The sequence below is a fragment of the Homo sapiens genome, chromosome 15, assembly GCF_000001405.40.
Source record: "Homo sapiens chromosome 15, GRCh38.p14 Primary Assembly".
NCBI lineage: Eukaryota > Metazoa > Chordata > Mammalia > Primates > Hominidae > Homo > Homo sapiens.
The window spans coordinates 101,691,516-101,717,881 of NC_000015.10; the positions used below are offsets into that span (position 1 = coordinate 101,691,516).

A 26,366-nucleotide genomic window follows, 5' to 3' on the forward strand; every position below is an offset into this window, starting at 1 on the left:
GCGATCCACCCCTCTCAGCCTCCCAAAGTGCTGGGATTACAAGAGTGAGTCACTATGCCCAGCCTTTTAAATTTTCTTCAATAAATTTTATTTCACATATTTGAGATTCACAACATGATGTTATAGGACACAAATAGTAAAAGAGTTACCTTTTTTGTGTGTGTGACAAGAGCAGTTAAAATCTAATTACTTAACAAAACTCCCTGATAAATATAATTTTGTTAACTTTAGTCCTCATGTTCTGTATTAGATCTCTGGCCTTGTTGATCCTAGATATCTATTTTGTATCCTTTGATCTATATCCCCCCATTTCTTCCCCCCAACCCCTGACCATGGTAAGCACTGTTTAATTCTCTGTGTATGTACCTGAGCTCTCTCCTTTTTTTAGATTCATCAGCTCCCCTGGTTCTCAGGCCTCTGCACTCAGGCGAGAATTACATCTCCAACTTTCTTGGACCCTCAGATCATGGGATTTCTTGGCCTCCATAATCACACAAGCCAATTCCTCATAATAAATCTCTTCTTTTCTATGTATCTTGTTGGTTCTGTTTCTGTGGAGAATCCTGACATGCCAATATACTTTCCATATGGTTTCTGATTGGGTCTGACCAATGGGAAGTTCCAAAGGATTCACAGGGTAGTGGAAGAGAGAGGTCTGGATATTTCTTTCCCTGGTTCTCCCTGCTGTGGGTTTACTCAGGTTCTGGCTGTGTTCCACAGTTACAGCTTCTGTTGTGTGGCCTCTCCTCCACGGCTCCAAGCTCTCTGTGGGTTCTGGTATTACTACTCCATCTCCTCACTTCTCTCCTCCACGGCTCCAAGCTCTCTGTGGGTTCTGGTATTACTACTCCATCTCCTCACTTCTCTCCTCCACGGCTCCAAGCTCTCTGTGGGTTCTGGTATTACTACTCCATCTCCTCACTTCTCTCCTCCACGGCTCCAAGCTCTCTGTGGGTTCTGGTATTACTACTCCATCTCCTCACTTCTCTCCTCCACGGCTCCAAGCTCTCTGTGGGTTCTGGTATTACTACTCCATCTCCTCACTTCTCTCCTCCATGGCTCCAAGCTCTCTGTGGGTTCTGGTATTACTACTCCATCTCCTCACTTCTCTCCTCCATGGCTCCAAGCTCTCTGTGGGTTCTAGTATTACTACTCCATCTCCTCACTTCTGCAGGCCTAGTGATGGAGGGGAAGGGATTCTTGCTATTGGTAATCCCTGGGCGCTCTATCATCCCTTGTTAGTTACCTTAGCCAGGCCCATATCTCCATAAATACTTCCTTCACTAGACTCTCTTCAGTTAAACCCTTGGAGTGCATCTTTCAGGACTCTCCCTGCAGAAGAGCTGAATGTTTTGAGGCCTGCCATGTTCACAAAGACAAGCTTGGTCTAGAAATTCACTCCATCTAAGGTTGTGTGAAGAGGAAGCAAAAATTCCCCAAGTGGGTTATTAATATAACAACAAGAGAAGCCACTCCCCTCCCCACTCCAGGGTTTCAAGACATGCATCAACAAGTCAGGCAGATTCCAGGAAATGCAAAAGGTGTGACTGAGATGAGCTTTACAAAAGCAACCCTCATGCACAGCTGGTGGGAATGCAAAACAGTAGTCATTTTGGAAAATAGTTTGGCATTTTCTTATAAACTTAAATTTACCATATCTATTCTCACACTGCTAATAAAGACAAACCCAAGACTGGGTAATTTATGAAGGAAAGAGGTTTAATGGACTCACAGTTCAGCATGGCTGGTGGGGGGGCCTCACAATCACGGTGGAAGGCAAAGGAGAAGCAAAGGCACATCTTAAATGGCAGCAGGCAAGGGACTTTGTGCGGGGGAACTCCCTTTTATAAAATCATCAGATCTCAAGAGACTTATTCACCACCACAAGAACAGTATGGGGGAAACCACCCCCACGATTCAATTATCTCCGCCTGGCCCCACCCCTGACCCTTGGGGATTACTACAATTCAAGGTGAGATTTGGGTGTGGACACAGCCAAACCATATCACCATATGACCCTGAAATCACACTCCTAGGTATTTACTCTAGTAAAATGAAAACCTATGTTCATACAAAAAACTGTACATGAATGACAATAGCAGTTTTCATAACTGCCAAAAGCTGAAAACAACCCAAATGCCCCTCAACTGCAGGATGGATCTGAAGCAGTGGTATGTTCATATGATGGAATACTGCCCAGGGACAAAAGCAGAGGCCCGCTGGGGACACTCAACTCGGATGCATCTCCAGGGTGTTATGCTGGGTGAAAGCGGTCAGTCTCTAAAGGTTTTATAAAAGTATGATTCCATTTATATGCCAATATTTTAGGGGTAGAGAAAAAATCAGCCGTTCCCTGAGGTCAGGGCTGGGGAGGATTTGATTTTAAAAGGGTAGCATGAGGGAGTTTTGAGGGGTGACGGAACTGTTCTGTATCTTGATTGCTGAGGTGATAACACAGTTCTGCATGTTATCAAAAAGGCGTACATTTTACTGCATGACAATTAAAAAAGTTAATTTAAAAAAAGGTAAGAAAAGTACAGAATCAGCTGACAGATATTTTCCAGAATGCAGGGAAAAAAAAATTCAAGGAGACTAACAAAAAGATCTATTTATTCACTATCAGTTGTCCACACAGTCAGTAACTAATATACAAACAAAAGTTCACTTGCCTTTACTTAAACCTAAGTGGAAGTCATTTTACCTGAGTCAAAAACTCAGAAATCCTGAAATTTCCCTCAGTGGGAGCAGTGTGCACACCCAGCCCATCCTGGCCTCCTACATCCCTTCCACAGAAATGCAGCAGTTCCAGTTCTGAGGAAAAGGATGCTTCCTGGTAGAATGCGGCCATATATTCCATCGTGCTCAGCACCATGTATCCCCAGCACTCTGGCTACTACTGACTGGTCTAGGACTCAGCACCAAGGCAAAGGCTACTGATATTGGACCAGACCATGGCCCCTGAGGCAGCCCAGCTGTGACTGAGAGTCTGTCCCACAAGCACACCCTCTACTGGCTGGTGACTAACAGAACCAACTGGAACCTCAGGGAGGACCTTGAGGCACATGGAAGAGGGCAGAGAGGAAAAAAGACACAGGCAGATAGACTGAAAAATATCAAGACCCAACAGTATTCTTTTCTCCAGCAACGTACTTTAAATATAGAAACAGAGGCAGAAAATAAAAGGATAGGAAAAGATATATCATGCAAACACTAATGTAAGAAAGCTAGCTTGCCTATGTCAACACCAAAGGAGACTTTTAAAAAGATAGTTTTATTACAAAAGGTCAAATAGCCTATGAACCCATTTATATGTGACACCTAGAAATAGTCAATTTCATAGCGACAGAAACTAGAGTGGTGGTTACCAGAGGCTGGGGGAGGCAGGCATGGAAATTAGTGTTTAGTGGGTACAGAGATTAAGTGTAGGATGATGACAAAGTCCTGGCGAGTTTCGGATTTGCAACGTGGAAAGAGTTCTGGAGATGGACCATGACAGTTGCATAATAACATGAATGTACTTAGTGAGAATGAATTGCATACTTAAAAATAGTTAAAATGGTAAATTTTTATATTATGTGTATTTTACCACAAAATGGCTTGAGGTAAAATTTACACGCCATAAAATTCACCAATTTTAAGTGTACAATTCAGTGACTGTTGACAAATGTATACAGTCATGCGACTTCTGCCACAGTCAAGATATAGAACATTTCCACCCTCCAGGAAGTTCCCTCCTGACCCCCTGGAGTCAATCCCCTCTCCCCACCCACTGGACTCCTGATCATCTTTCTGTCACTATAGTTTTGGCATTTCTGAAATGTCATATAATGGAATGGTGCCTTATGCATTCTCTGACTTATCTGGCTTAGTACGATGCTTTCGAGGTTCCTCCTTCATGTGTATATCAGTATCTCACTGCTTGTAAATGCTGAGTTGTATTCCACAGCATGGACTTTCCACATTATGTTTATCTTTTCACAAGCTGAATCTGGGGTTGTTTCTGGTTCTGTGCTATTATAAGTAACGCTTCTATGAACATCCAAATACAAGTCTCAGTGTAGATGCGGGCATATGTTTTTATTTATCTTGGGATAATTAGAAGTGGGGGCTGGCGTGGTGGCTCACGTCTGTAATTCCAACACTTTGGGAGGCTGAGGCGGGCAAATCACCTGAGGTTGGGAGTTTGAGACCAGCCTGACCAACATGGAGAAACCCCATCTGTACTAAAAATACAAAAATATTAGCTGGGTGTGGTGGTGCATGCCTATAATCCCAGCTACTTGGGAGGCTGAGGCAGGAGAATCACTTGAACCTGGGAGGCAGAGGTTGTGGTGAGCTGAGATCATGCCATTGCACTCCAGCCTGGGCGACAAGGGCAAAACTCCATCTTAGGAAAAAAATAAAATAAAAAAATAAAAGGCCGGGCGCGGTGGTGGCTCATGCCTATAATCCCAGCACTTTGGGAGGCCGAGGTGGGTGGATCACGAGGTCAGGAGATTGAGACCATCCTGGCTAACACGGTCTCTGCTAAAAATACAAAAAAATTAGCCAGGCATGGTGGTGGCAGGCGCCTGTAGTCCCAGCTACTTGGGAGGCTGAGGCAGGAGAATGCATGAGTCCAGGAGGCGGAGCTTGCAGTGAGCTGAGATCGCGTCACGGCACTCCAGCCTGGGCAACAGAGCGAGACTTTGTCTCAAAAAAAAAAAAAAAAAAAAAAAAAAAAAAGAAGTGGGGCACGTTTATCTTTACAGGAAATGCCAAACTGCTACAAAGTAGTTCTACCATTTTACGTTCCTACCAGCAGTAAGTGTTATACTTGCTTCATATTCTTGCCAATGCCTGATGTTTTTAGTCTTTCTATGATGGGAAGGGGACATTCTTCAATCAATAACCCTGGCATGAGACTCTACCTGAATACAGTCATGTAAGGGACCCAATGCGAGAACCACCCACAGGAGCCTAAAATTTGGAACTATGAAAGACAGTAATGATGAAATGGCAGTTTTAAACTATTAAGTTCTGGGATACTTTGCTATGTTGCAATAGCCATCCAGAACAGAATTTTGCACTGGATGTAGGTACTGCTATAACTGAGAAATAAAAATAAAATCCTAAGCTCCCCAACTGACTGAACAGACACCCTCTTGGCCAAAGGACCCCAGAGAAACCTTAAAAACTGAGTTACTGGCAGTGACAAGAGGTTGGACATGCCTAATTATACCCACTCTGTCACTAACAACCATTAGGCTTTCTTTCCTAAGAGTTAATCAGAAACAAGCCCTTTTGAAAGACTTGTTCCACCACTGATTTACACAACTGAGCAGCATTTCTTCCTGTTAAAAGACCACTCACCATGCACTGGTTCTGGTTGGTTTATAAAGGCTGCACATGGGATGCCTCCGTGTCCTCCATTTGACCTTTTGGTTATACAGCCTAATTTAAATGCATTGTCTCCACCCCAAAGTGAACAAGGGATGCATGTAACATGCATGTTTGCTTACTATGTATATAAATGTCCCCCCTTTGTGAATATTCATAGCTCTTCTTATAACCTGTTAAATATTTATACTTGGCCAATCTCATCAGCATAAATTCCTGTCTTACTTTTCCCTCCCTTGAAATGCCTGCTTCTGGTTTCTGCCAGAAGCTATGAAGCTTCCTAGCCTGCAAGATTTCAGGCTGCAACCCCTCAGAAGAAATGAAGCTCTCCTTTACAATTTTATGAACCTCATGATTCTTCAGTTGACATAACAATAACCTAAAACATGTAGCTTTGGGGCCAGGTGGTGGGCAGAAGCTAGAAGGGATTCTTATTACGAGGTGCCAGAAACAGATGGTGGGTAACACTGTCACCAGAAGTAACATGGAAAACAGAAAGGGTACCCAAAGAACTCATGGACTTAGCTGGGGAGACGTCCAGGCAGAATGTAGAAAATGACAGCCGATTTTTGGCTCCCTATGGTAAAATACAAGAAAAGAGGTATAAACCAAACGTGAAACTAATTAACTTTTTGAGCCAAGTTTAGAGGAAATATAAAGCCACCAGGACCTGCTGGGTTCAAAAATGAAACCTTCTTATCCTTAGACTGTACCAAAAAAGACTCACGAGGCTTCAGGACACGGATCAAATTCAGATTATAATCATCAAAGCACAGCCTTACGGTAAAGATCTTAAGGGCGGGGCTGTAAGACACTGTGAAAACCTCAGAATGATCTACTGTAAGTGCACCTAGTAAGGCTTCTGAAAGTCTTAGGAGTGTGCTTTGTAGACCCTTTCCATTAAACACGAAGGCTCTGAAGACTCTGCAGTGTACTATTGTCTCACAGTAGCCTCCCAGGCAAAGAAGGATCGGTGTCAGAAAGATGTGGATGTGGCTTTTATCTAACCGTGTTGATGATAAATTTATAGAAAAGGACTCGCAAAGTTTTTAAAGGAATTGTACTAGCTTAGATTGAAAGGCAGCACAAAATGAAATAAGGGCTTTGGATTCCCCCAGCCTTCTACAGGAAGGAATCAGGTTGAGAACAAAGCTACCCCAGGCCGGGCGCGGTGACTCACGCCTGTAATCCCAGCACTTTGGGAGGCTGAGGCAGGCGGATCACGAAGTCAGGAGATCTAGACCATCCTGGCTAACACAGGGAGACCCTGTCTCTACTAAAAATACAAAAAGCCTGGCATGGTGGCAGGCGCCTGTGGTCCCAGCTGCTCGGGAGGCTGAGGCAGGAGAATGGCGTGAGCCTGGGAGGCAGGAGGTTGCAGTGAGCTGAGATCACGCCACTGCACTCCAACCTGGGCGACACAGCGAGACTCTGTCTCAAAGAAAAATAAAAAATAAAAAAATACATAAATAATTTTTTTTTTTTTAAAAAAGAAAGCTACCCTAAGGCACATATGGGCCATTTCTTATGGAAGAGAAAGGATGACTCAGAGGGCAGAATCACAGCCAGGCAGAGCAAAACTGGATCTTAATCAAAGTGTATCTTTTGACCCTGGGGCAGTGATGACCGGTAGATACCAGAATTTCTACAGATGGTGACTACCATGTGCCTCCTACTCTACCCCACTCCTTTTTGAGTAAGACTATCTATTGCATTATTCCTCAAGCACCATTTTACAATGTGAGGGAGATGAGAGGATGAGGTGGCTGATAGATAACTTGAGTTTTTAGTTCACAGGTCTTAAACTGTAGAGGAAATGTACTTGATAATCTGTTCCCAACAAACTGCACCCGAGGAGCCTCATCTGCAGCTAGGCCTGATTCAGAAGATGTCCTGGATTTTTGAGCCAATGTAGTAATTAGATGAGCCTTGGAATTATTTGTTAAGAATAGAACACTTTGGAAGAGTAGAATGGACTTCCCTACAGTCCTTTGGGGCTGAAAAGACATAAACCCACCAGCCTGTCAAGTGGAAACCCAAGGGGGTCATGACCTAGAAACAGGAATCAAAAGTTGAATCTTATTAAAGTGGAAGCCGGCCCTAACCCAGTGCAATCTCTGATCGAATTCAATGATCAGTCCTTAATAGTGGCAGAGGGTGAATGCTCCAGTGGGAGATATCATCTAGAGCCTCTACACCTAAATTACATGTAATACTTGGCATCTAACAAAATATTACTTGATATGGGAAGTGACACAACCATAATAACAAAAAACCAACAGAAAAAACAGCTGAGTTCTCCAAAAGGTTTTTTTCATGGTAAGGCCAATTCCTTCAGACAAAGGTATCCAGAAATGCAAAGTTCTCAGTGTCGCCTGTGTCTGTCAAATATTCCCATTCCAAGCCTCAGGGACCCTTCCCAACCAGTGCCCTTACCTTAGAATAAGAGATCACTGGGTTTGTGCATTTAAGTGCCTTTACAGTTTGGTGACCCTCACAATCAGGCCCTGCTCCTGTTCATCAGCCACATCTGTCTTGCATCTATAAAAAATAAGAGATCCCCTTAATGCCACTGTAAAGGCTTTCTGTTCATTCTCCATCTATTGTACTCCCAACTTGAGAGTACAAGGTGCCAGGGGCCATGCTGATTTTCCAGAGAAGACAGCACATCCAAATCAGCAGCTGTGATGGTCATCACCACCTGCCTAAATGTAAATCTCTGATAATCTTCAGTGATTCTTCAAGTCTCTTCCACTGCCCTCTGATCTCCTACCATTGCCTCGCATTGGCCAGTCCCTACTGGAAGATGTGTACCCCAGGTGATAGAATACAGACATGTCAGCCTCCAGGGGCACAGCACAAGAAGAAAAAGACGGAGAACAAGACTGGAGAAGCAAACAGAGAATAACCAGTGCAGGCCACATGCCATGGATTGTCTTCTCAGAAAGTTACTGAAGAAAGTGATCCCCAAATGAGAATTAAAGATAAGCAACGAAGAGATATACAGGGACCAGGAAAAGAGACTCAGCATAGGAAGAGACATGAGGGGAGTGGCCAAGATGATGATGAAAAGAAGTCCTAAGCCATCAGTTTGCAAGAATCTTAGTAGCAAGTTAATTCTGGAGTAGGACCAAATTTGAAAAAAAAAATTACTGAGCAATTACCTGAATCATTGCAGAATATGTTGCAAGGAGATTTGTAGTTTTTGAGAGAAATTGGAGCATGAATTAGTGGTAGGCACATAAAAAAACTAAGTAAATGAAAAATTTAGGTAATGATTATAGGAAAGACAAAACAGTGCAAGCATGGAAATGTAATCCCAGTAGTCCACCCGGATCACCTGTGAACACTATCTACACAGTCCTTATCATGTAAATACTAAAGACTTTCCCACCTATGAACTTGTAATACAAGTAGGTATTTTGCACTGTTGGTTTTTTCCTCTTTCCTCTGGAACTGCCAAATCACCTGGGAGTCATGCTATAGGCAAAGGGAAGCATCAGTGGCCCATGGAGCACATTTGGAGAAGCAATGCTTCATGGCTTAACACTCTGTACCAGAGACGACACTTTCTCCTTTCTTCTTTTTCACAGGGAGTGCCACACTTAGTCTAATGCTTACCTTTATATTCTACATGGTTTAGAAACTTATATGGACAAAAAGTGAATTTTATGAAATCCAGGAATGTATTCAGGGGAAACAGAAATTATCTCCATGTTATTATTAGAAGGTACAATCTAGTACCTCACTTTTTTTTTTTTTTTCTTTGAGATGGAGTCTTGCTCTGTCACCAGGCTGGAGCGCAGTGGCACAATCCTGGCTCACTGCAAACTCTGCCTCCCGGGTTCAAGCAATTCTCCTGCCAGCCTCCCAAGTAGCTGGGATTACAGGTGTGCACCACCACACTCGGCTAATTTTTGTATTTTTAGTAGAGACAGGGTTTCACCATGTTGGCCAGGCTGGTCTCGAACTCCTGACCTCAGGTGATCTGCCCACCTTGGCCTCCCAAAGTGCTGGGATTATAGGTGTGAGCCACCGTGTCTGGCCAGTATCTCACTTTTAACCTCAAAATTCTTATTAATGTTACCAAAGTAAAGTTAATGGAAACGCTTGACCACTTTATTATGAGAGAAAATAGTAAAAATGTAAACTGGAATTGAATAAGAATAAAACATTTTAAAGTTAACTTACTCGTATGAAATCTGTAAGCGTATTATAAATGAAGGCTCCTCTGGGAAGGAAAAAACAGCTTCCAGGACTCAAATCGTGGAAAAAGAAAAGTTCTTGTTCCTAGATTGAAACAAAAATTGCATTTCAAATGTCATCTGCTATTGCTTAATATTTACTGCACACACATATAATACTCAGTTATTTCCATCTTCTCTAGTAATAGACATTCCAAGGCCATTCAACACTTATACCTAAATGCATGCAACAGCATATGTAAAATTTCCAATCATATTTATGCCTAATTAGCTTTGAACTTAGCTTTTACTTCACCTTCTGCTATTCTCTGCGAATTTTCTTACTTGGCACACTTGGAGTACGGCACTCATGGGGAGACAACACGGTAGAAAGACCAAAAAAGTTCATTGCAGGAGGTGGGCTTTAGGTGATGATGATCATCATGGCTGCTGCCTACTGAGAGCCTATCCTGTACCAGGCACCGTCACCCAGTTTCTGTCTTCACAGCCACCCTGCAAGGCTACCCAGCAAGGAAGACAAGGACACGGAGCTTGCCCATCATCTAACACAACTAGTGAGTACAAGGACTGGGCATAAAGCTCAGGCCGAGCTGCTTTCCAGTCTGAGCTTTTCCTTCTACACGCTGCTCTGTCTCCCAGATACAAAGGATGCTATAAAGTGCACAGAATGTAAAAAACAACTCTTTTTTTTTTTGAGACTGAGTCTCACTCTGTCGCCCAGGCTGGAGTGCAGTGGAGCGATCTCAGCTCACTGCAACCTCCGCCTGCCGGGCCCAAGTGATTCTCCTGCCTCAGCTTCCAGAGTAGCTGGGACTACAAGCGCGTGCTGCCACGCCTGGCTAATTTTTTTGTATTTCTAGTAGAGGTGGGGTTTCACCAAAAACAACTTTATTTTTTATCATGACAAAAATAAGAGAAGGGTACAATTTTCAAAAATTAATAAAAGATACAGGAAGGAAAGAGGTTAGAAGACATCTGGGGTATTAAAATGAAAGCACTGAGCAGCGGACTGTGAGTGCCAGCAAAATAGGAGAGAAGAAGAAGAAATCTTATTTTTAAAGCAACTTAGTTTTGTGAGACAGAAACATTCCTATGTTGGCTTATGATTACATCTCCAGTGATTAAGATGTGGGGCATACCTTCCCGATCTTCCTGTGATCTCGGTTCTTTGCTTCCTCTTGGAACTTTTCCCAGTCTCTCATCATCTTGTTATCAGGAAAGGATATTCCATAGATCCTCTGCAATGTTTCCATTTCCGGATTGCCCTCCCAATATGTTGAGGAATTCTAAATATCAAAGAGGATTTTGGTAAATATATCATACATTCAGTTGTAAGTAAAACTGCTCTTAAATACAAATGCAATTTTCCACTATCATATCAACAAAGCAGCCCTGCATGGTGGCTCATGCCTATAATCCCAGCACTTTGGGAGGCCAAGGTGGTTAGATCATTTGAGCTCAGGAGTTTGAGACTCGCCTGGACAACGTGGCAAAACCCCATCTGTACAGAAAATACAAAAACTAGCCAGGCACGATGGCACATGCCTGTAATCCCAGCTACTTGGGAGACTGGGGCAGGAGGACTGTTTGAGCCCAGGAGGTCGAGGCTGCAGTGAGCAGTGTTTGTGCCACTGCACTCCAACCTGGGTGACAATGCAAGACCTTGTCTCAAAATCAAACAAACAAACAAACAAAATCAACAAAGCTTAAAGAAGACTATTTGTAGTGCTGGGAACAATCTTAAAATGGATTCTAACTAAACCTTCCCAGCCTAAATTATACCATTAACCAGCAAATTATGTAGAGTCTGCTATGGATTCTAGGAATGACAGTGAGAGCACACAGAAAGGAGGGAAGGCTAAGCAGCAATCATAATCACCAAGGATGGGGCAGAACAGACAGTAGGTATGGGGAAGTAAAGGTCGGTCTTGCTGACCTACAGTCAATGATTAAGAACAGTGCCATTAGCCAGCCCCATTTTACCTGTAAGAAAATCAAAGCCAAGAAAGGCTGGGACTGCCAAGTCAGTCCCATGCCTCCTAATCCCAGAGCGATGTTTTCTCCATTACAACATCATATCCCCTCCTGCTGTTTTCTTTATGCCGCAATACATTACTTTCACATGCAGACAAATATTCTTGCTTACATCAGGGCTATTCAAGAAAACCATAGTATATAGAACAATATTTTAAAATAGTGTATGAAAAAGGCCAGGCGCAGTGGCTCATGCCTATAATCCCAGCACTTCGGGAGGCTGAGGCAGGCGGATCACCTGAGGTTAGGAGTTCGAGACCAGCCTGACCAATGTGGTAAAACCCCATCTCGACTAAAAATAGAAAAATTAGCCGGGTGGGGTGGTGCAGGCCTGTAATCACAGCTCCTCAGGAGGCTGGGGCAGGAGAATCGCTTGAACCCAGGAGGCGGAGATTGCAGTGAGCCAAGATCACACCACTGCACTCCAGCCTGGACAACAGAGCAAGACTCTGTCTCAGAAAAATAAAAAATAAAATAAAATATCGTATGAAAAAGAAATGTTATAACACTTACAATAAGGTAAAATGATAAACAAAAGCCACCTATAGTGTTCTAATTATCAAAATTCTAAATGATTTTATTAGTTTTCATCAAATAAGAATGAAATATTTTAAAATATCATGATGTTCAGACTACAAAAGATATGATTGAATAAGATATGATTAAAATCCTTTAATAGCTAGTGCACCTTAAGTTTACTGTATTAAAAAAAAATCAATCCTTACCTTAAAAATTTTGATGGTTTTAATTTTTCCAGTGTGTCTTACATGTGGACCTTTGCAAAGGTCAATTAATGGACCGCACCTATAATGAAATATTTAGGACATGCTCAGGCACAGTTACAGTGTTCTGGACTATTCATTATAAGCCATAATATCCTATGTTTTAGGTAGAGCTTCACTTATTTATATGTAGCAATGCCATTTTTAATTTAGGGTGAAGGAGAGAGGTGATTCATCTAGCCTCAGAGTCCACTCTGCCCTCTAGATTCAAAAACCACAGAACATCTTCTGAAAGAAACTAGGCAATTCTCTGATTAAAAACTTAAAAATTACAATGAATACAAAAAGGGACTGGCTTACAGAGTGGCAAACACGAAAATGTCATCTCTCTCAATGGTCAGTCTTTGTGTATTGTTCTCTAGGGAGAGAGCTTGTAAACAACACTCAGATGAAGGGAAGGAATGCCAAATTAGCATGAAAGGCTTCAATACTCTAATCTTTACATAGAAAGTCACAGGGCCGGGTGTGGTGGCTCACACCTGTAATCCCAGCACTTTGGGAGGCCGAGGCGGGTGGATCACGAGGTCAGGCATTCGAGACCAGCCTCGCCAACATAGTGAAACCCTGTCTCTAATAAAAAATATAAAAAATTAGCTGGGCGTGGTGGTGGGCGCCTGTAATCCCAGCTACTTGGGAGGCTGAGGCAGGAGAATCACTTGAACCTGGGAGGCAGAGGTTGCGGTGAACCGAGGTCGCGCCATCGCACTCCAGCCCGGGCAACAGTGCAAGACTCCATCTCAAAAAATTAAAAAAAAAAAAAAAAAGAAAGCCATAAAAGAAAAGCTTTATTTTTTTTTCAAAAATTAAATACAAGCCATTCAAATTGAAAAACTACAAAAAGTGTCAATGTTGACGTAAGTAAGGTTCTCAAACCCAAGAGCTCAAGCATTAGAAGCCAGAAATTTAAAACTTGGCCTGTTTTCTACATTTTCATTTATTTTTAAGCTTTAAGAAATGCACCGTGCATAGCTTTGCACAAAGGGGATATGATTTTACTTACAGTACAATTAAACCAGAGAACCATAAGTCCTTGACTGTCGAAAGTAAGTACCATGAGGGAGAATATCTGTGGTTATAATTAAATAAATACCAGGTCTTCTAAGGCGGTACTGTGATAGTCCTAGCAGCACCCAGATGGCCGGAACACACGGAAAGGGGAACAGCAATGACATATAAGGCGTATACACACGAATAAAGAAAAAGGTGCTCAGGAACCTGAGGTTAAATGAACAGAGCTAAGTGATTCTGGTATTAACTTCACTTGTCTCCTCTTACATTTGATCCTGCCTTTGTTTCCCAGTATTTTCTTTTGGTCTCATCATGAGTATCCTGCTAATGCATGAAGACTGTACACTTGGACTCTGGACAATGGGGCAGACTCTTCTACACTTGCACTCTGGACAGTAAGTATGAGGCAGAGAATCACTGCCGAGGAGATGGCTTGTAATGGCCCCCACTGCCACATTAATAAGAACGTGGAAGGACAGAATAGAAACTCCTTTCCCAACAGTATCACTCACATGGAGAAAAATCCTGTTATAGCTAACACCCAGGAAACAAAATATGGGTCTCAGTACTGTCCTGATTACTAAAAAGGGGAAAATAATCATTTCTCTTTAGTGAAAACATTTTGAAGATTGTAACTACGGTAGATTATCAACTACACAACTTGAAAAATCGATCTCCAACCAGAAAACAAACTCGGCCTCTACTGCTAACACCTTCAAGTTTACCACTGAGCAGCGTTTACCATGTGTGGACACAAACCTGTACACGGTGGTAGTTGCAGTGTTAACTTTCTCATTCAGAATGCGGCATTTAAATTTATTGTACTACGAAGAAAAACATATTTACACATTATTACACACAATGTTGAAATGAAGAAAACAACTCTACTTTTCTTCAAGAAACATTGAAAGGTCATCTACTGATGTTCTAGGTGCTGAGACACGAGGGATACAAAGAGCTCACAGCCTTGAGCGACACCGTGCAGCATGGAGGCCACAAGCCACGTGGCTACTGGGCATTTCAAATGCCATTAATTTGTGGTTGTTGTTGTTGTTTTTGAGACAGAGTCTCACTCCCTCACCCAGGCTAGGGTGCAGTGCCACCATCTTGGCTCACTGCAACGTCCGTCTCCCTGGTTCAAGCGATTCTGCCTCAGCCTCCCGTGTAGCTGGAATTACAGGCATGTACCACCATGCCTGTATTGTATTTTTGTATTTTTACTATGTGCTAATTTTTGTATTTTTAGTAGAGACAGGGTTTCACTATGTTGGCCAGGCTGGTCTCAAACTCCTGACCTCTAGTGATCCGCCTGCCTTGGCCTCCCAAAGTACTGGGATTACAGGTGTGAGCCACCACACCTGGCCTCAAATGCCACTAATTTGAAAGAAGATGTGCAGTGAGTATAAAACACACTGGACTTTGGAAGTATAATGTTGCAAAAAGAAGAAGAAAATCATTCGTTAATCATTCTTTATACTGGCTACCATTGAAATTATACTTTTTATATATTGGGTTAAAAATTTGTTAAAATTAATTGCAACTTTTACTTTTAAAATGTAGCTGCCATAAAATTATAGGTTACACATGTAGCTCAGACTAGTGGATTCCATTATGTTTCTATTGGACAGTACTGTTCTAGAAGATCTAATTTTAACATTAATCAATAAAATTCTGACAAGGACACAGCTATATTATTAATTTGTATAAAAACAAAAGCAAAGTTTATCGTAATGATGATATATTTATAAAACTAAGGGTTTTTTTCCTTTTCCTTTCTTTTCTGCTTCCATCACTACTATCGGGGTATACAAGGCACTTTATATTAAATAACTACTTAAAGAAGCTAGTTGTTGGGAGAAAAACCCGTATCTGCATGATTTAACTGTTTCGTATCTATATATTCACAACAAATCATTTTCCTTAACAAAGATTAATTGTGTTTAGTTCTTAAAAGTAGCTGCAAAAAAGGCAACCCACAGAATTAAATATTTGCAAATCACATATCTGTTAAGAAATGGATATCCAGAATATATCAAGAACTCTTATAACTCAAATACAAAAAAACCTAATTAAAAAATGGGCAAAAGAGCTCAACAGACATTTCTCCAAAGACATTTCTTCAAGAAAATACACAAATGGCCAATAAGCACATTAAGATGCTCACCATTAGTACGTCATCAGAGAAATGCAAGTCAAAACAAAACCCCAATGAGATACCACTTCACAACCATTAGGATGTCCATGATTAAAAAAAAAACAAAACAAGTGTTGGCAAGGATGTGGAAAAACTGAACCCCCTGTGCATCACTGGTGGGACTGTAAAATGGTGTAGCCACTGCACCAAACGGTATGGCGAGTTCTCGAAAACTTAAAAACAGAATTGCCATAGGATCCAGAAATTCCCCTTCTAAGTATATTCCCAAAAGAAGTAAAGCAGAGACTCAAACAGAACTTTACACACCCATGTTCACAGCAGCGCTGTTCACAATAGTAGCCAAAAGGCAGAAGCAACCCAAGTGTTTACAGGTGGATGAATGGATCAACAAAATGTGGTCTATCCGTACAATGGAATATTATCCAACCTTATAAAGGAAGGACATTCTGACACACATTAAAATATTAAAATATGGATGAATCTTGAGGACTTTTTGCTGAGTGAAACAAGCCAGTCACAAAAGGATAAATATTGTCATGATTCCACTGATATGAAGTGCCTGGAGGAACCAAATTCAGAGACGGAGAGTAGAATGGTGGTGGCCAGGGGCTGGGGGCAGGGCGGGAATGGGGAGCTAATGTTTAATGGGTATAGAGTTTCTGACTGGCAAGATAAAAAGCTTTGGAGATTGGTGATGGTTTGACAACATTGTCAATGTACTTAATGCCACAGAACTGTATACTTAGGATTAAATGGTAAATTTTATATGTTATATATTTTACTGCACAAAAAAGAATACTGCAATTTTTTACCAAAACCAACTCTATTTTTTTATTCAAGCCCACAAAACTGATAATACTGTGTTTTCAAAGTACATGTTTTTGGTTGGGCGTGGTGGCTCACGCCTGTAATCCCAGCACTTTAGGAGGCTGAGGGGGGTAGATCACTTGAGGTCAGGAATTCAAGACCAGCCTGGCCAACATGGCAAAACTTTGTCTCTACTAAAAGGATAGAAAAATTAGTCAGGCACGGTGGCACATGCCTGTAGTCCCAGCTGAGGGACTGAGACACGAGAATTGCTTGAATCCAGGAGGCGGAGGTTGCAGTGAGCCAAGATAGTAGTGAGCCAAGATAGTGCCACTGCACTCTAGCCTGGGAGGCAAAGAGAGACTCTGTCTGAAAAAAAAAAAAAAAAAAAAAAAAAAAACCCAAAAAATAAAAAACAAAATGTATGTTTTCTCCAATATGTATGTTTTAAAACATAAAATCAGGAATATATTTAAGTACGTTGGTCAAAAAAATATAAAGAGAAAGTTACTGTTTTACACAGGTTACTCTAGGTTAAAATCTGAAACAAAAGTTAACAGAAAACTCCCACAGAAAAGAGAAAAAGGCAGCATTTTATATGGGATTATAAATATTGTTGAATTTAGGTGACAGATATTCACAATACTCAGAATTAATCAGATTTATAAACACACATGTGAAAATTATTCACCTGGCCCTTTACCTACCTATGTCTCCCCTCAAATGTTCAGGAAATAGATGGGGAGGGAAATGTCACAGCAAGTAACTGGTAACAACCTCACAGTAGCTTAACAGGATTGGAATAATTTGGTGAGCAACAGGTAATTATTTGGGGGAAGGTGGGGAAGCTAGTCTATATTGATTTTTAATATTCCTAGTAAGAGGTTTAGGAGTTTCCCCAAGTTACCTTAAACATTTCCAGGAGGATTTCCTTGCTGACTTCTAGTCTTTCAAAAGGTTGCTTTTCTTTTATGATGGCTTTACATATATTCTCCAGGGCTGACAATTCTGTGCTGGACACTGCTCTAAAAAGAAGAGCAGAGAACCGACATCCATCTTCCAGACATTATGCATTCCCTCTTTCCTTTGTCCTGGAGCCTCAGCAGCCATAAATTTGAATCTGCTGTCTTATTGTTCCAGGACTTCAGAAAGTCAAACGTTCATACAGTCACTACTCTTGTGTCTCAGTGAGGGAGACTGGGCATCAACAGTTGCCAAGACCTGCCTCATTTCTCCTCTGCTGCAAGGGGAGAAGGAAGCCCTGCTAGGAGACACCCAGGTGGACTGTGAGCTCCTCTGAGGCCTGTTCTTTTGTGTGGTCTTCCTTACCCTTCACATGCTTTAGTTTTGCTCAAGAGCCAGATGCAGTGCTCATCACGTCCCTGCCCTCACTGGCTATGGAACCAAGGCTGGGAGACATCTGTATGGACTGCAGAGTCGCGGTGCTCCCAGCAGCACTCAGCCTCCGCTATGCATGGACTAACTTCCTTTCAGTCACCCCCTGGTCAGTGCTCACTCCCTCCTGCCACACTAGCTTCCTTGCCACTCCTCAAACAAGCCACACATATCCCCACACCAGGACAGTCCCACAGAGGCCTGGAACCTTCTCCCTGCAGATGTCATAAGTATCCCCATCCTCAGGGCTTGCTCCCTCCCTCCACTCCGGTCGGCTTCAATGCCACCTGCTCCTTCCTGCCCACCTGCCTGTCATGGCACACACCTCCTACACCTGGCTGATGTTCCTATAGTCATCACCACCCGGCAGCAGATGGCTGCTTGTGCATTTGCTGTCTTCCCCCAAACACTGTTAGCTCCATGAGGACAGACTGGTTCCTTCACTGCTGAATCACCAGCACCCAGCACAGAGCACACAGCAGGCAGCAAAAACATCTTGTTGAACGAATACTGGAGCCATGTTAACAAGAGATGAACGGGATGTGATACTGTGATACAGTAAGAAACACAAATTTGGTCTTCATCCAGATTTCTGGCACAGGGTTTTTAAAATCCTGAAATCTCTGGAGTGATACGAGTGTCTTTTGTGTGCTGATGAGATGACTGGTGGCTAGGTCCCCTAGGTAGCTTCAGAGCAGGAACTGGTCACCACAAAGACCAAGGCATGATTAAAGGGTTGGGACTTTCAGCACCCCCACCTGCCTCCTTAGGGGAAAGGAGAGGGGCTAGAGATTGGGTTATCACCAAAGGTCAATGATTTAATCAATTGTGCCTCTATAATGAAACCTCCATTAAAATCCCTAAACAACAAGATTCACAGAGCTTCCAGGTTGTTGAACACATCCAGGTGCTTGGGGCATGGCGCCCAGAGACACATGGCATCTCTGTGGTCCCTCCCACATACCTCACCATAAGCATCTTTCATCAGGCTGTTCATCTCTATCCTTTGTAACATCCATTATAATACACTGGTAAGGTAAGTAAAGTGCCTTCTTGAGTTCTGTGAGCCAGTCTAGCAAATTATTGAACCCAAGGATGGGGTCATGGGAACTCCCGATTTGTAGCCTGTAGGTCAAAAGTATGGAAGGCCCAGACTTCCAGCTGGCATCTGAATTGGGGCCAGTCTTGTGGGACTGAGCCCTTGACCTGGGGAATCTGCATTAACTCAGGGTAGATAGTGTCAGAATTGAGTTCAATCATTAGACACCTCATTGGTGTCCAGAGAGTTGGAGCACTGGCCATTGATTTGGGAAAAAACCCACACCTTTGAGATAAGAATTGTTGTAGGTAAACACAGTTTCATGCTTGTGAGTAATAGTGGTTCAGATTGGACAAGTCTGTAAGTAGTAGCTACACAGCATTGGGTGCTCGGTTGGGGAGGTCATTAAGCAGCGTGCAGGAGAAGGTAAAGACAAAATGCACCATAGTCATCCAGGCCAGAGATGCCATGGGGCTAACTTAAGGCAGAAACAAGAGAAGGAGAGGGGGGTGGGAGAACTATTTAGGAGATAAAATTGGCAGAACTGGACTAAACAACTGGATGGTGGCGTGGTGGTGAAGAGGAGGGAGGAAGTAGAAGGATCAGAGGTTTTGGTTGTGGCAGTTGGAGGTACCCTAGGAGCTATGAGGAATTCAGGGCAGGAGGTGGACGGGGCTGGCTGTTTGCTAACGATTCAAGCATAGGCCTATGGAATGTGAAGCATCTGTGACACATCCCTGTCCGGCACTCAACTATGTGAGATGTTTGGCTGAGGTTAATGAGGTCCTTGATTATCACGGAGCGAATTAAACTAGCCTCTCTCTAGGAATTAAGCTTTCAATTCTGGTCTTAATTAATACCATGCTCTAGCAAGTCCAAGATTAGATAAATAGCATATCATATTCTTCTGGGGACAAAAAAGAAAACAATCTTAGAAGTATCTCTTGAATCTAAACTAGATTTGACTAAAAATAATTTTCAGTTAAATGCCTTAGACCATTTCTAAACTAAAAATAATTTTCAAAATTGGTCAACCAATCTATAATCATCTTATGCAATACAGTTGACCCTTGAACAACAAAGGTTAGAACTGCATGGGTCCACCTATATGTGGATTTTCTTCTGCCTCTGCCACCCGGAGACAGCAAGACCAACCCTTCCACTTCCTCATCAGCCTACTCAACGTGAAGATGAAGAGCTTTATAATGATCCACTTCCACTAAATGAATGGTAAATACATTTTCTCTTCCTTATGATTTTCTTAACATCTCTTTTCTCTAGCTTATTTCAAGAATACAGTATATGATACACCTAAGATACAAACTATGTGATACTCAACTGTTTATGTTTTCATTAAGGCGTCTAGCTAACAACAGGCTATTAGTTAAGTTTAGGAGGAATCACAAGTTGAACTCGGATTTTCAACTGCATGGGCGTCGGTGCCCCTAACCCCACATTATGTAAGGGCCAGCAGTATACAGTTACTAGGCTAGTATGTAACCATTACAGAACAATACAATTGAAACACATGCATTCACAAGCCAGTATTCAGTGTGTTACCTGTCTTCAATGAACATGTCATAATAAAATCCATTTTCAATGGGCGGACCGTAGCACAGGTGGCCTCCATAGTAAAGCTCCATGGCCTCCCCAAGAATGTGAGCACTGGAGTGCCAGTACACCTGCATGGCATGGACAAAGAGGCCATTAGCTACCAAAAGTATGTCATGGAAAATTAGTAGTAAAATGATGTAAACCAGTAGAAAATTTTAAGGAGATACATGGCAAGACCAAGGGCAGCAACATCAACTTGAAAGGAAAATCTTCGATGCCCACTTAGAAGAGAATGCTTTCTGAGCCCTCCCTGACATTCCACCGGAGTCACTTGCTCAGTGCCAGTGTGAAGCTGCTCTGCTGAGTGGCAGCTAGAGCTCGGCCACAACCCCATTTCCTCTGTGCATGTCAGCCACGAGAGATGAACACCTCTCAGAACAGCCAGCAGAGCAGCTGTGTGCAAACCTGATTGAAGCCCAGAGTAGGAGGAAGGCCGAGGAGTGCCAGATGCTAGCTGTCTTCTTTTTCTCCAGGGGCACCCTCTCTGAGCTGGACACAGAGCACTGAAGTGTTCCTGACACCACTACAGTTAACGAGATCCTGCATCTCCAGAGCAGTCTTCGTGTGTTGAATAGCATGTGACTGTGGAAGTTTGAAAGATGTCTCAGGAAGAAAAAAGTGTTGCCAGGGAACGTCTGCTGGCTGCCTGGGACGCCTGAGAAGTGTATATATGGGCTCATTAGCCACAGTCCAGAGCCCGGTTGTCAGTCCTCCAAGTTCAAAAAGTTGATACTGTTTTGAGTTCCCAAGGAATTCATTTTAGTTTATGGATAAACTGAAATTAACCAAAGTCACCAAATAAATATAGGTACCAAAGGAGTAAGATAATCAACTCATCTTTCAGCACTTTCTTTCTTTTTATTAAATAGAAAGCAAGTTACAATTAAAAAGCTGTTTGATAAAATGAATCAGGGCAGAAGGAGTCAGATGATGGAGCACTATGTGCAATCCCAGCCCACAGCAATAGGCTGGGATATGATTTGCAGACAGACCCAGAGGGTCAGTCCTTAGGGCACAGCACTGCTCCTTTGGATGCTGCTAGGATGGCAGGCTGACTGCTAGCATCAGCCCAAATCTCCCATGTGGTGCACTGTCCACACCTACACATTTGTTGAGCCAAACACTGTGCTGGGTATACAATAGTGAAAGAAACAGACATAGTCACAGCCCCCACACAGGTACAGCCTATTGGCGAAGACACAGGCAATAAACAAACCTGGACGTGCATAATTCTAAGATGAGAAGGGTGTTTAAAAGGAGATGAACAGGGCTCTGTAATATAGAAAAATGGTGAGTGTCCTGCATTCATGGGGACTCGGGAAGGCCTGTGTGACTAACACGTAGGGGATGTGACAAAGCATAGCTTGAGAAAGGTTAGAGAGGTAAGGAAGGGCCAGAGACCATGCAGGCCTTGGGGAGGAGCTTGCATTTTACTCCAAATGCAATGGGATGCATTAAAGGGTTTTAAGCAAAATGATTAAATTTACATTTACACACATCATTTGATAGCTCGATGGGAATGAATTTCAGGGGACAAAACAGCAAGTAGGCAGTTTCTTGGGTGGTTCTATAACAAGGTGAGTGCGGATTCTCAGGCAGTGGCAATGGACAGATTCTAGATATTTTTAGGAAGTAAAATCTACTGGGCTTACCCCTCACTGGAGATGGAGTTGAGGGACGGGGAGGAATCACACAAAACCTCCAAGGTTCTGGAATGAGCTATTGGGTATGTGGTGGAGTAATGCACTGACTTAGGCAAACAGGAAGAAATAAGTTTTGGGGTTAAAATCGAAAATTTCATGGTGAATGTACTGAAGATTCTTGTACAATATCTACATGCAGATATCACGTAGACAGTAGTGCATAAAAACTGAGGCATGGCTAGCTATGGCTGGAGAGTTGTGAATTCAGTCTACAGTACTGAACTTTCTGAAAATCACTTTTAAATATGGTTTTATTAATAGTGTACTGTTTACATATTTAATGGTTATACTTTGCATATTTTAAACAGAAATTATAATATGGTTCTTATAGTTTAAAGAAATTTAGCATAAGCCTTGCAATTATTGTAACCTAAGCTAATCATAACTTAGGTTTCATGAAGATAATGGACAGCTTGAAGGGCGACTGCAACGTTCAGGCGACAACGTATATCAGAAATCATATATCACATGCATATGTGAAAAATGTGGTATTTATTTTATAGAAAATTATATTAAGTATTTAAAGGATATCTGAGTCTTGTAATTTCTTCCAATTCTCCTATACATATTAAATTATAAAGTAGACCCATTTTTAATGGCCTACTAACAATTCATTTCAAACACACATTGATTTAATAACCAAAGCATTCTAACTTAAGGAAATGATTATTGTAAGAAATGATAAGGCTGGGCACAGTGGCTCACACCTGTAATCCTAGCACTATGGGAGGCTGAGGGAGGCATACTGCTCGAGCCCAGGAGTTTGAGAACAGCCTGGGCAACATAGCAAAACCCTGTCTCTACAAAAAATATGAAAAATTATCTGAGTGTGGTGGTGTGCACCTGTAGTCCCAGGTAGCTGGGAGGCTGAGGTGGGAGGATCACCTGAGCCAGGGGAGGTTGAGGCTGCAGTGAGCCGTGATTGCGCCACTGCACTCCAGTCTGGGTGACAGAGTAAGACTCCATCTCAAAAAAAAAAAAAAAAAAAAAAAAAAGAAATTATAAATATGGGCTACTTTAAAAACTGACATGTATTTGTATACATTCATGCCACAAATATTTATTAAACATCAATAATCAAATTTTAAATCTTAGAAACCCCCAAAAAACTCAACATTCGTGACTTCAATATGTGGCCTCTTATATAATGTAGTTTACAACATAACTACCCAAAGTTTGGCTGTCTGGTTTTTAAATACTCACAGCTTGAGCTTCCTCATTATCAAATGTAAGCAGCTCTAGAGAAGAGTCCCCTTCCAATGGGCGGTCCAGGTCCCACAGTTCACCATTGACTTTGGCTATTACCGTGCTTTCAGCCAGTTCCTGACTAAGAAGACAAAAGCCACTTGGGAGTTAACTTTATCACTGTTACAATGATTCCTTAAAATATTAAAAGAATTTCTAGGGTTTTTTTTTTTTGAAGTGTATAAAAAGTACAAACATAAACTAATAGGACAGATATTTCTTGTTTTGCAATATTTATTTTATGTAGAAAAGTAATATACATTCACTGTTTTTTTTTTTTTTTGAGACGGAGTCTCGCTCTGTCGCCCAGGCTGGAGTGCAGTGGCGGGATCTCGGCTCACTGCAAGCTCCGCCTCCCGGGTTCACGCCATTCTCCTGCCTCAGCCTCCCAAGTAGCTGGGACTACAGGCGCCCGCCACTACGCGCGGCTAATTTTTTGTATTTTTAGTAGAGACGGGGTTTCACCGTTTTAGCCGGGATGGTCTCGATCTCCTGACCTCGTGATCCGCCCGCCTCGGCCTCCCAAAGTGCTGGGATTACAGGCGTGAGCCACCGCGCCCAGCCACATTCACTGTTTAAAAAAAACTTGGAAAACTGAGAAAGCCCACAAGATAAAATAAAAATCACACATAAATATCATAAATCACTACTTATAACATTTTGGTACATTTCTATCCAGTGGTTTTTCTACCTCCATCCACCCCACGCACACATATGTGCTGTCTTTAAAAGCAGCTGCCGACATAATTGTATAGCTTGCATTTTCTGTCATGCCTCAGATTGCCTTCCAAAGCAGTCTGGAAGTATTGTATTTATTAATGAAGCCTCCACTGCTGCACACTGAGGTCGCCTAAGTCTTGCTATCATAGAGTATATCACACAGACATCTGTACACAGGCATCTTGCGACTTCTGTGACTGTTTTCTGGGAATACATCCACAGAATTGGAATTACTAGATCAAAGGGGATGTACCGTTGACAGATTTCTGATGTCAATTGAACGCATCACTTCCACGTACCCCGATTTTTAAAATCTTTATCAATGTGACATTGAAAATTGTTGTTTTGATTTAATTATTAGTTTTGGTTCATGCTTACAAGCTATTTTTACTTTTATGAACTATCCGCTTCCTTTGCCTATTTTCTTTTTTTTTTTGAGACAGTCTCACTTTGTTGCCAGGCTGGAGTGCAGTGGTGCAATCTTGGCTCACCGCAACCCCTGCCTTCTGGGTTCAAGCGATTCTCCTGCCTCGGCCTCCCGAGTAGCTGGGAATACAGGCGCAGGCCACCACACTCAGCTAACTTTTGTATTTTTAGTAGAGATGGGGTTTCACCATATTGGCCAGGATGGTCTTCTAGTGAGGTGTTGATCTCTTTCTTTCTGTTTTTTTGGGTATCTTTTAAATAACATTTATTGTTTGAAAATTGTTGACAAAATTACAAGTTAAGAAAGGAAACCTGGAAAGCACAGAAACACACACACAAAATCACCTATAATTCTACCACCAAGAAATTACCATTGATGTTTTGTTTATATCTTTCCATATTAATATATAGGAATAAAAAATATTTAATAGTATCATAATTATGTGATTTTATAACCTACTTCTTAAACTTCACAATAAATCACAGCATCTTCCCTAACAGGAGACAGATTTCCAAAACGTGATATTTAATAGTCACAGAGGAACCAATATTTGCTAGGCATTTTAATTATTTTTTATGGGTACTTTGGGGGACGAGTAGCAACAAAAAACAATGCTGCAATGAACATTCTTGAACATATATCTTACTCAATTATTTTCTCAGGAAAAATTCTGGAAGTACAACTGCTAGGTCAAGGGAAATGCATTTTCAGTGATTTCTGTCAGAATATATTGCAAAATTTTCCTACTAGCAGAGTTACAAGAGTATCTTGTCTCTGAGTTCTCATAATGTTAGGTACTATTAAATTGTATCAACTCTACAATGTAATTTTTTTTTTTTTTTTTTTGAGACAGGGTCTCACTCTGTCACCCAGGCTGGAGTGCAAAGGTGCAATGTCGGCTCACTGCAACCTCTACCTTCCGGGTTCAAGTGATTCTCCTGACTCAACCTCCCAAGTAGCTGGGATTACAGGCACATGCCACCATGTCCGGCTACTTTTTGTATTTGTAGTAGAGACAGGGTTTCACCCTGTTGGCCAGGCTGGTCTCAAACTCCTGACCCCAAGTGATCTGCCCACCTTCACCTCCCAAAGTGCTGGCATTACAGATGTGAGCCACCGTGCCCAGCCTACAATGTAATCTTTTAATTTACATTTCTGTGATTAACTTGAGCAGCAGTACTGCATTGAGGTTGGGGGCACACAGGTAAGAGGCCAACCTGAGTTTAAATACTGGACAATTTACTCAGCTTCTTTAGGCCTCAGTTTTCTTATCTACAAAATAGGGATTATAGGACCTTCCTCATTCATCTATACTCAGGATTACATAATGTGTACATATGATAACAAGAACTTAATAAATGTTAGATGTTATTAATCAAGTAGAACTTTCTTTTCATTTTTACTGGCTGTCATAGATGGCTAGTGTTTCGCAAACCGATTCTGCCCTTCTTCTCCAGAAGGAGTTTTCCAGCCTTCCTTGCAGCTACATGTGGCCATGTGGCCAGGTTTGGAGCCAATGGATAGAAGGAGAAGTCATGTGTAACACTTCTGTGTCTCATCATTAAAACAGTGGAGGGCACTTCTCCAACCTCTCTCCACCTTCTGTAGATGGGAACCCATGTGCTATTCTTTCTGGACCATGTAGACAACGGCAACATTGTACCAGACAAATCAGCAACAAGATGGGAGAAATCTGGGTCCCCAAAAGACCGTATGGAGACATGTCACCCAGTCAACCTGGCCACCCACGTCTAGACTGCTATATGAAAAACAGACTTTGACCATATTCAAGCGACTTGAGTTTTTTGTGATGTCTTTGTTGTAGCAGCTTAGTATATATCTTAAGTAATACA

At 42.0% G+C, this 26,366-nt stretch overlaps 1 protein-coding gene across 6 annotated transcripts in view; it reads right to left on the minus strand.

Moving 5' to 3' along the window:
• TARS3 (threonyl-tRNA synthetase 3) overlaps positions 1 to 26,366 on the minus strand; it is a 70,878-nt gene that overhangs the window by 37,920 nt on the left and 6,592 nt on the right. For 3 of the 6 annotated variants that reach the window (NM_152334.3, XM_047432140.1, XM_017021912.3), the window contains exons 4-10: positions 23,325 to 23,448; positions 20,365 to 20,486; positions 17,278 to 17,395; positions 14,168 to 14,232; positions 12,344 to 12,422; positions 10,724 to 10,870; positions 9,571 to 9,669 (exon numbers count right to left, since the gene is read on the minus strand). In NM_152334.3, the coding sequence (NP_689547.2) occupies positions 9,571 to 9,669; positions 10,724 to 10,870; positions 12,344 to 12,422; positions 14,168 to 14,232; positions 17,278 to 17,395; positions 20,365 to 20,486; positions 23,325 to 23,448 (754 nt within the window). Of the gene's footprint in view, positions 1 to 4,058; positions 5,957 to 7,815; positions 7,921 to 9,570; positions 9,670 to 10,723; positions 10,871 to 12,343; positions 12,423 to 14,167; positions 14,233 to 17,277; positions 17,396 to 20,364; positions 20,487 to 23,324; positions 23,449 to 26,366 lie in introns of those variants that run through there. The other 3 variants (XR_931749.4, XR_007064422.1, XM_047432142.1) reach the window with 3 other exon arrangements.